The sequence below is a fragment of the Homo sapiens genome, chromosome 6 (genome assembly GCF_000001405.40).
Source record: "Homo sapiens chromosome 6, GRCh38.p14 Primary Assembly".
NCBI lineage: Eukaryota > Metazoa > Chordata > Mammalia > Primates > Hominidae > Homo > Homo sapiens.
The window spans coordinates 31,089,327-31,100,902 of NC_000006.12; positions in this window are offsets into that span (position 1 = coordinate 31,089,327).

Here is an 11,576-nt window from a genome sequence, read left to right on the forward strand (position 1 = left end):
TATATACACACACACCACACACACATACAAGTATGAGCCACCACACCTGGCTAAATTGACTTTTCACCTCTATGATTTTCCTATTTTATTTTTATTTATTTTTTTCCCTGCTGTGCTGACAAACCAGATTTCCCCATTTTAAATATCTGATGTAAGTGAAATCATGCAATATTTGTCCTTTTGTTTCTGGCTCATTTCATTTTGCATAATTTTTTTTCAATATTCATCCATGTTGTAGCATGTATCAGAATGTAATTCCTCGTTTATAGCTGAATTATATATATGTTTATTTTTACCACAGTAAAAGAAATTTTAGGCCAGGCATGGTGGCTCATGCCTATAATCCCAGCACTTTGGGAGGCCAAGGCAGGTGGATCACTTGAGCTCAGGAGTTTGAGACCAACCTGGGCAACATGGCGAAACCCTGTCTGTACTAAAAATACAAAAATTAGCCGGGCGTGTTGGTGCACGTATCCATTTCAGCTACTTGGGAGGCTGAGGTGGGAGGATAGTTTGAGCCAGCGAAGTCCAGGCTGCAGTGAGCTGTGATTGTGCCACTGCACTCCAGCCTGGGTGATAGAGCCAGACCTTGTCTCATAATAATAATAATAATGATTAATTAATTTAATTAATTATTTTTTTAAATTTTTTATTTTTTGAGGCGCAGTTTCAGTCTTGTTGCCCAGGCTGGAGTACAATGGCATGATCTCGGCTCACCACAACCTCCGCCTCCCAGGTTCAAGTGGTTGTCCTGCCTCAGCCTCCCTAGTAGCTGGTATTACAGGCATGTGTCACCACACCCGGCTAATTTTTGTATTTTTAGTAGAGACAGGGTTTCTCCAGGTTGGTCAGGCTGGTCTCGAACTCCTGACCTCTGGTGATCTGCCCACCTCGGCCTCCCAAAGTGCTGGGATTACAGGTGTGAGCCACTGCACCTGGCTAAAAAAAGAAATTTGTAATGAAATTGACTTCAAAATAATTTAAAAGTTAAGAAAAAAACCACATTACACAAATATGATATAAACTTAAAAGAATGACATAAAAAAAAACACACAAGAGCAAAAAAGGACGCAATGAAATATGGAAACTAGTGAATGGAAACAGTGAAATGACAAAATAACTAAATAAACTAGTAGCAAGATACCTGAAAGGAAAAGTTGACTGCCAATCAAAATACGTTGCTGGGTGACCAAGAAATCAAAGTTAAGAGAGGTAGATATTTTAGGAGTATTTCATCCAGGTCATAGTAAAACCCAGTCCAGGAATAAAACATTGTATGTATCTATACCAGCCTTGTTTTAAACAAAATCTAAAATAGCTTAAACACAATACAACAGAATTAAAAATTACAACTAAGGCTGAGCCTGGTGGTGCCTGCCTGTAACCCCACCTACTCTGGAGGCTGAGGCAGGAGGATTGCTTGAGGCCAGGAGTTTGAGACTGCCCAGCCTGGACAACATAGCCAGATCTCATCTCTAAAAAAGCAATAAAATGAATTAGCCAGGCTGTTGGGGCACATGCCTATAGTCCTAGCTACTTCCTCAGAAGGCTGAGGCTGGAGGATCACTTGAGCCCAGGAGTTTGAAGCTGCAGTGAGCTATGAGTGAGACCCCAAAATCTCTAAGAAAAAGAAAGAAAAATACGAAGGCAAGTAAAGAGTTAGAAAAATCAGATAAAACCAGTAAGATTAGTATAAACATCATGCTGTGCTGGGGGTGGGGGTCGCAGGTTTGGAACTGAGCTCTCTAGAAGCCAATTCAAAGAGGGAAACACAATCATCACATGGCTTCCAGTGTCCAAAGTCTCAGAAGTAGTGAGACAGCCAGGTGGGAGGGGTTCCCTGGAGAAATGCCAACCAGCCTGCCCACTGAGGTGGAGCCTCAGGAAGTTTGTGCCCTTTGCAGCGGGGAGCAGCCTGGCCCCTCTTCTTAGTGTGTGGATCCTGGGATTTGAATGGCGGGTGGGAAGCGCTCTAGTAGGGACTCTGGCCTAGCGACAGTCCCTGTTTCTCCGTTTTCTTCCTTTTCATCCAATAAAACCCATCTCATTCACCATTCAGATTGTCTGCGAGCCTGAATTTTCGTGGCTGTGGGACAAAGAACCCGTCTTTAGCTGAACTAAGGAAAAGTCCCGCAATAGTAACACAACTAATCCTTTCCCTGAGACCAGGAAGCAGTTTTCTTCTGGTCTCCCTTGACCAGAAGGGGTGTGATAAAGTGAACAACGTCTCAACCACACCACTACCATAAATACAAGTTTTCATAGGATTTATTCATTTCTTCGGTGTTCCTGTTACAGCTGGTGGCACCATGTTCCGGCAGAATCAGTCAGATCAGTGCAGTCCCATGCTGTGTGTCCGTGCCACTGGTCTGGCTTAATTCAGGGATGAATTCTAGTGTACATGAAACAGACGGCACACATATTCTTCCATCAAACTGACAGAAGAAGTCTCTCTCCACCCATCTTTTGATATGTAGAGCATGACTGTGAGTTCAGTGTTATTATACACTTGATGTCACAGCCATTTTGAAGCTGCTGATTAAAAGTAGGTTATGGCTGGGCGTGGTGGCTCATGCCTGCAATCTCTTAGGGAGGCTGAGGTGGGAGAATCACTTGAGCCCAGGAGATCAGCCTGGGTAACATACCAGACCCTGTCTCTATTAAAGAAAATTAAGAAAATAAAATTAAAATAGGTTACAACAGAATACTCATGGCCAGAACATACCTGTCTTCATGTTCCCCTGCAGGGAACAATGACTAAACAGCTCATGATTCTTGTCCCTTGAGCCCCGCTTTTCTAGATTCCATAAAGGCCACCCTCTTCTGCATCCACATTCTTTCTTCAGTTGGCGCCTAGTACCATGGATTTGATTTTTGCTTCCTTAGGTCTAGTCTTTATCCATGCATACTTCCCCTTGGCTCCCTTTGATTGGATTTATTTACTCCCCAATTTCCTTAGCACCATCTACAGTGTCTTTTCCAGTTAGTGCCTCTCATTCACTGTGCACAGACTCCCCACAACTTTCATTCGTAGGTGATTAACTTTCATGTAATGTCCTAGGAAACCCTTTACTAGCTGTGTGACTTTAGGCAAATTACTTAACCTCTCTGAGCCATATTTTCATCATTTATAAAGCTCATAATGCCTACCTTGGAAGGATGTTTGGAATTAAAGTAAGTTAGAGGCTGGGTGCAGTGGCTCACACCTGTAATCCTAGCACTTTTGGAGGCCAAGGTGGTCAGATCACCTGAGATCAGGAGTTCTAGACCAGCCTGGTCAACATGGTGAGACCCCCGTCTCTTCTAAAAATACAAAAATTAGGCTGGGCACGGTGGCTTACACCTGTAATCCCAACATTTTGGGAGGCTGAGGTGGGCTGATCACCTGAAGTCAGGAGTTCAAGACCAGCCTGGCCAGCATGGTGAAACCCCATCTCTACCAAAAATACAAAAATTAGTTGGGCATGATGGCGGGTGCCTGTAATCCCAGCTATGCAGGAGTCTGAGGCAGGAGAATCGCTTGAACTTGGGAGGCGTATGTTGCAGTGAGCCGAGATCGCACCACTGCACTCTAGACTAGGTGACAGAGCGAGTCTCAAAAAAAAAAAAAAAAAAAAAATTAGCCGGGGGCGTATTCCCAGCTACTCAGGAGGCTAAGGCAGGAGAATCCTTTGAAGCCAGCAGGTGGAGGTTGCAGTCAGCCAAGATCGTGCCACTGCACTCCAGCCTGGGGGACAGAGTGACACTCTGTCACTCAAAAAATAACATAAAATAAATTATAATAATAATGGTAACAACAGCAAATTGTTATTGAGTTCTTATCGTGCCAGACACGATGCTAAGAATTTCGTATACAAATATTTGGTTGAGTCATCTCAACAAGCCTATCACATGGGAACTCTGACTATCCCCACTTTACAGATAAGGAAGATGAGGCTTAGAGAGCTTAGTGCTGGGCCCATTAGTTACAGTAGTTATAATTATTCAATGTCCTTCAATGTCATGAGAAAGTCACCATCAGCCTGGGAGTTCAGTGGGAGGGTCAGGAAAGACTTGAACAATGAGTTGTTTGCAGATGAATGGGCTTTTGTGTTTGTTTTGTTTTTATTATAAACCCAGTACTATACAGGTCTTTGTAAAAGTACAAAGTACAAAGTTGAAAAGTCCTGAAAAGCTTCTACCACCAAGGAATAACCGCCGAAATAATATCTCATCAGAACTTTCTCCATGAATACACTTTTTAAAAATTATCACCAGCAGTTTCATGGAACACGAATACTCTGTTTAAAAAAGAGATAAGCTTTTATGTCTATATTACTTTATTTTTTCTGAGTACTATTTTTTCCCCTGATTTTCACCGAAAGGGTTGCTCTCTATGTTGTTGTTTCAGCCCTTCCAGTAGTTTAAAACATGCATCTTTAGTTCTAGTCTAATTCATGATTTCCCTTACATCTATTTAAAGTTATAATTTTATTTAACATCAAAGGTTATTCAGTAGCTTTAGTCTTTCCCCTGAACCAAACACATTTATTTATTTATTTATTTATTTATTTATTTTTGGAATTGGAGTCTCACTCTGTCACCCAGGCTGGAGTGCAGTAGTGCGATCTCAGCTCACTGCAACCTCTGCCTCTGGGGTTCAAGTGATTCTCGTGCCTCAGCTTTCCGAGTAGCTAGGATTACAGTTGCCCGCCACTACGCCCAGCTAATTTTTATATTTTTAGTAGAGATGGGGTTTTGCCATATTGACCAGGCTGGTCTTGAATTCCTGATCTCAAGTGATCCGCCCGCCTCGGCCTCCCAAAGTGCTGGGATTACAGCCATGAGCCACTGCGTCTGGCCACCAAATACATTTTAACTTCTTTCCTCTTTCCATTCCTCTTACTGTACCCTTCTAGGATTCCCTGGGTTTTGTTAAAAGCTTCTGGAACTGGAATGTAGCAAATGAATGTTCCATTTAACAGGCAGAGAAAGAGGAGGTGGGCAAATCACAGAACCAAAGTGCAGAGTGGTGAAGAGCTCCAGTTGCATGCAGGGTGGGGTGGCTGCCAGGGCCCTGGTGCCTTCAGTCATTAGTTCTGCAAATGTTCATGAGTTCCACCAGTGGTGTCTGCCCAGCAGAGAGCAGGAGCAGGGGTGAGGGTGAGGACAAGAGACAGACAGAGCCTGGAGGGGCAGTCAGCTGCACAGGAACGACCTTCTGTGCAAGCTGCAGGCTCTGCACCCAGCCAGTACCTGAGCAGGGTAGAGGTCTGATGAACTGACTTATAGGATGGGCTGGAGGACGCAGAGCCTGTGGGTATGAGGCCAGTTAGGAGAGTGCTGTCACCACCCAGGCAGGAGGCCATGAACATCCCCATATGAGAAAGAAGGGCATAAACAGGAAACAAATTTAACAATTAAATAAAAGCACCTCCCTCATGCAGGAAACTCGCCCTGTGCCAGGCCCTGCAGAACCATCTGCAGAGTCATTTCCTCTCTTGGCAACTTGGCAGCCCCTAGCAAACACAATGCATCTTGGCTTGCCATCAGTGCAACCCTTGTTCTTCAGATACAGGTAAAATGCCAAATCCCTAAGAAGGCCTAGAAGGCTCTGCAGTGTCAGCACCAGCACCCCCACCCCTTGGCCCCTCTCTGTGGTCACTTTCTTGGGTCCTGCAGATGCTCCAGGCTCCACTCAAATTCTATTGGATTAAGGCTCACCCTAATGACCTCATTTTAACTTGATGACCTCTATAAAGACCCTATTTCCTAATCAGATCACATTCTGAGGTACCAGGGATTAAGATTTCAGCGTATCTTTTGGGGGTGGGGGACACATGGTCACATCCTGAATGACTATAGCTCAAACAGGTCTTTGTTAGGTGAAAATAACAGGTGGAAAAATCACTGAGCACTTCACCTTATCTCAAACTTATGACTTCAAAATCTCTACAGTGGACTGGTTTCCCAGCTGACCTCACCTTACGTGGAGTGTTGCCCAATTCACACTCTCCAGCCTTCCCCACACTGACTTTAACTTCCACATATTCCTTCACTTCATTCCTGCATAAACCTGGGTATGGTCCCTTCATTGTCTCTCAGTGATGTGGAAAGTTTTCATGATGAGTCTACCCTGCTCTCTCTAATGCAAGTAGGATACAACAAACAGCATGTTAAGTTAGCAAATTTGACATTAACGTCTATCTTAAAAAGTGGCCAACTATGGGCCAGGCACAGTGGATCACACTTGTAATCCCAGCATTTTGGGAGGCTGAGATGGGCAGATGGCTTCAGCCCAGGAGTTTGAGACCAGCCTGGGCAACATGGTGAAACCCTGTCTCTATTTAAAAAAAAAAAAAAAAAAATTAGCCAGGCATGGTGGTGCACTTGTAGTCCTAGCTACTTGGGAGGCTGAGGTGGGAGGATTGCTTGAGCCTGGGAGGTTGAGGTTGCACTAAGCCAAGATGGCACCACTGCACTCCAGCCTGGCAACACAGCAAGACTCTGTCTCAAACTAACAAACAAACAAACAAAAAAGTGGCCAACAGAGGAGGTAGTAGTTTTGTCACTAGCTGTCATGTGGAACCCCAGGACCTAGCCTTTGGTTTCAAATACTGTTTTTCATTTATAGAAACTAGGACCCCTTAGAATGCAAGGCTTAGGTGACAACTGATTCCATGTCTCAGAGAAGGAAAGAATCAGGACAGGACTTGAATGTTCTGTTGTTGCCATAGAGCAAGGATGACTTCAAGAATGTGAAGGACAGGCTGGGCACGTGGCTCATGCCTGTAATCCCAGCACTTTGGGAGGCCAAGACGGACAGATCACTTGAGCAGAGGGGTTCAAGACCAGCCTGGGCAACGTGGCGAAACCCCATCTCTACAAAAAATACAAAAAGTAGCTGGGCATGGTGATGCATGCCTGTAGTCCCAGCTATGTGGGAGGCTGAAATGGGAGGATCATCTGATGCTGGGAAGGTCAAGACTGCAGTGAGCTGTGACTGTGCCACTCCAATCTGGGCAACAGTGAGACCCTGTCGCAAAAAAGAAAGAAAAGAAAGAAAGAGAGAGAGAGAGAAGGAAGGAAGGAAAGAAGGAAGGAAGGAGGGAAGGAAGGAAGGAAAGTAAGTCAAGGACAGTGCTTAAAAAGACAAAGGAGCCAATTTCAAAGAGCTCCCATTGTTCAAGTTGACAGTCGGGCATGAAAGAAAGAAGATGGGAGGAGGAATGATAATTATGGTTAATTGAAGTAAATTGAATCTGTGGCAGGCCATGAAATCACGATAATAACAGATAAAAATTCACATAAAGGGCACAAAAGATGACTGTAATAGAGAAGAATTGAGTTTTAAAATTTTATTTTAATAAAAAGGGAACTATTCATTTTGTCTCTTCTATTAATTATGTGTCTGTTTATAAAGCAAAGATAGGTGCTTGCTTTTGTCTGTGTAAGCAGAAAACCCACAGAGAATGCTGAGAAAGCCAAGTAGCCCTGTTATAGTAGGCAGCTAGTCAGGCACGAGCAGAGCAGGAGAGGGCTTCCTACCACACACACCCACCAGGAATGCCAGGCGAGCATCAGGTGATGGCCAGGCGGTTATTAACTGTTTCTCTAAAATAATAACTGGTAGCAGCTGGCGCCAGGGACAGGCAGATCCCAATAGATAGAAAAAACCTGAAACTGGTGATCAGCAGCTTCCTGATAAGATCTCAGGAGTTGGGCGAGTGGACTCAAGCATGCTCACTAAGAGGCAAAACTGTGGAGTTTAACTGGTGTATGTCCTTCCTCTACGAATTTTAGACTGGCAAGGGAAGAACGCCTCAAGTGAGCATGCGTACAACTCCAGTAAACACACTGTGCATGCCGCCCTTTCCAAGGGCTAGCAGACCACTGCACATATGGACAGCCCAGCCCAAGGGAAGAATCAAGGGAGAAGGAACACCAAGACCCCCGAAGCATGCAATGTATAAAACCTCAAGTCAGGCCGGGTGCAGTGGCACACCTGTAATCCCAGCACTTTGGGAGGCCAAGGTGGGCAGATCACCTGAGATTAGGAGTTTGAGATCAGCCTGGCCAACATGGTGAAACCCCGTCTCTACTAAAAATACAAAAATTAGCCAGGCTTGGTGGTGCACACCTGTAATCCCAGCTACTTGGGAGGCTGAGGCAGGAGAATCGCTTGAACCCGGGAGGCGGAGGTTGCAGTGAGCCAAGATTGCACCACTGTACTCCAGCCTGGGTGACAGGGAGAGACTCCATCTCAAAAAAAAAAAAAACAAAAAACAAACAAAAAAAGACCCAAGTCAAAAGATCAAACCACATACTTGATCTCTAAAGTCGTCCACTTGGCCCTCTTCCAAATGTACTTTCCTTCCTGCTCTAAAGCCTTTTAATAAACTTTCACTCCTGCTCTAAAACTTGCCTCGTTGTCTCCTGCCTTATGCCCCTCAGTCAAATTCTTTCTTCTGAGGAGGTAAGAATTGAGGTTGCTGCAGACACCTACGGATTCACCGCCAGTAACAGCCCTGCTGTAAATATGAATGTTAGCAGAAATAAGAACGTCTGACATGAGATGATGTCAGAGGCAATAATGAAAGAGAAGGGAGTTTCAATAGTAGGTACCAAGACAATAAATTAACCAAAAATATCACTAAAAAGAAGAGCTAACCAAGTCAACCCAATTCTTCATCTTCTAGAATATTGAATATTTAAATTGCCCTACTAGTTATAATAAAATACAAATAAGATATGCATAAGATTTAATACTGCTAACAGATCAAGTCAGTATATCATAATGAGAGAAAAATTCATTATGTAATAATGGTCAAGAGATTATTGAAGTGTGTTATATTAGGGGGAGAAAATATGTTGTGAGATTCTTGTTTGTTTTTTTGTTTTTGTTTTTTGATACGAAGTCTCGCTCTGTCACCCAGGTTGGAGTGCAATGGAGTGATCTCGGCTCACTGCAACCTCCGCCTCCTGGGTTCAAGCGATTCTCATGCCTCAACCTTCCGACTAGCTGGGATTACAGGCATGTGCCACCACGCCCGGCTAATTTTTGTTTTTTCAGTAGAGACAGGGTTTTGCCATGTTGGCCGGACTGGTCTTGAACTCCTGACCTCAGGTGATCCATTCTCCTCAGCCTACCAAAGTGCTGGGATTACAGGTGTGAGCCACCGTGCTTGGCCCGCAAAATTCTAAAATTTATGTAAAAGATGTGTACCTAACTAAAAGCAGTTATATTCCTCAGTGAGATATAATTTCACACCCACTAGGCTGGCTATAGTAAAAAGAGAGATAATAAGTGTTGGCAAGGGTGTGGAAAAATTGGCACTCTCATGCACAGCTGTTGGACAGTGAAATGGTACAGCACTTTGGAAAATAGTCTGACCATTCCTCCAAAGGTTGAACATGGAGTTACTGTATGACTCAGCAATCCTACTTCTAGGTTTATAGCCCAGAAAAATGAAAATCTATGTCTACACAAGAACTTGTTCACAAATGTTCATAGCAGCATTATTCATAATAGCCAAACAACAACGACAACAACAACAACAATAAAAAATGGAAATGGCCTAAATGTCCCTCAACGGATGAATGGAAAATAAAATGTGATATATACAGCCATACGCTAGAATAAAAATGAATTTGAAAATAAAAAGAAATAAAGTACTGATATGTGCTACAACATGGATGAACCTTGAACACATTGTGCTAAATGAAAGAAGCCAGTCAAAACGACACCATGTTGTATTATTCCATTTATATGAAATGTACAGAATAGGTAAGTCCTTAGAGACAAAAAGTAGATGAGTGGCTGCTTAGGGCTGGGGTGGAGTAGGGGAGGGTTAGGAGATTGGGAGTGACTGCTCATGGGTTTGGGCTTTCTTTTGGGGTTGATGAAAATGTTCTGAAATTGATTATGGTGTTGGTTTTGTAACTCCATGAGTATACTAAAAACTACTCCCTGGTTTTGTACATTTATTTATTTTTATTTCATTTTATTATTATTTATTTATTTATTTATTTATTTATTTTGAGACAGAGTTTCTCTCTTGTCGCCCAGGCTGGAGTGCAATGGCACAATCTTGGCTCACCGCAACCTTCCGCCTCCTGGCTTCAAGCAATTCTCCTGCCTCAGCCTCCCAAGTAGCTGGGACTATAGGCATGCACCACCACGCCCGGCTAATTTTGTATTTTTAGTAGAGATGGGGTTTCTGCATGTTGGTCAGACTGGTCTTGAACTCCCAACCTCAGGTGATCCGCCTGCCTCAGCCTCCCAAAGTGCTGGGATTACAGGAGTGAGCCACCACGCCCGGCCTCATTTTATTATTTTATTAATGATTTTTTAATTTTGTGTGTACGTTGTAGGTATATATGTTTATGGGGTACATGAGATATTTTGGTGCAGGCATGCAGTGTGTCATAATCACATCATGGAAAATTGGGTATCCATCCTTTCAAGTATTTATCCTTTGTGTTACAAACAATGCAATTATACTCTTGTAGTTATTTTTAAATGTACAATTAAGTTATTATCAGCTGGGCGCAGTGGCTCATGCCTATACTCCTAACACTTTGAGAGGCCGAGGCGGGCGGATCACCTGAGGTCCGGAGTTTGAGACTAGCCTGGCCAACATGGTGAAACCCCATCATTCCAAAAAATACAAAAATTAGCCAGGGGTGTTGGTGCATGCCTGTAATCCCAGCTACCCGGGAGGCTGAGGCAGGAGAATCACTGGAGCCCAGGAGGTGGAGGCTGCAGTAAGCTGAGAAGGTGCCACTATACTCCAGCCTGGGCAACAGAGGGAGATTCCATCCGAAAAAAAAGAAAAAAAAAGTTATTATTGACTGTAGTCCTCCTGTTGTGCTATCAAATACCAGGTCTTATTCATGCTTTCTAACTATTTTTTTTGTCCCATTAACCATCCCCACGTGTCCCCCATAGCTCTACTCTTCCCAGCCTTTGGTAACCATCCTTCTACTGTCTCTGTCCATGAGTTCAATTGTTTTGATTTTAGATCCCACAAATAAGTGAGAACATGTGATGTTTGTCTTTCTATGCCTGGCTTATTTCATCTAACATAATGACCTCCAATTCCATCCATATTGTTGCAAATGACAAGATACCATTCTTTTTATGGCTGAATAGTACTCCATTATGTATATGTACATTTTCTTTATCCATTCATCTGTTGATGGACACTTTAGTTGCTTCCAAATCTTGGCTATTATGAACAGTGCTGCAGTAAACTATAGTTATTATTTTCTATTGGTTCATCATTTAGTCTTTCTACTTTAAGACAGGAGTAGTTTACCTACCACCATTAAATTATTATACTATTCTGTGTTTTTCTGTATACTTGCTATTACCAGTGAGTTTTGTAATGAGATTTATTCTCATTCATTAACATCCTTTTCTTTCAGATTAAAGAGCTCACTTTAGCATTTCTTGTCAGACAGGTCTGGTGTTGATGAAATCCCTCAGCTTTTGTTTGTCTGGAAAAGTCTTTATTTCTCCTTTATGCTTGAAGGATATTTTCACTGGATATACTATTGTAGGGTAAAAGTTTTTTTCCTTCAGCACTTGAAAT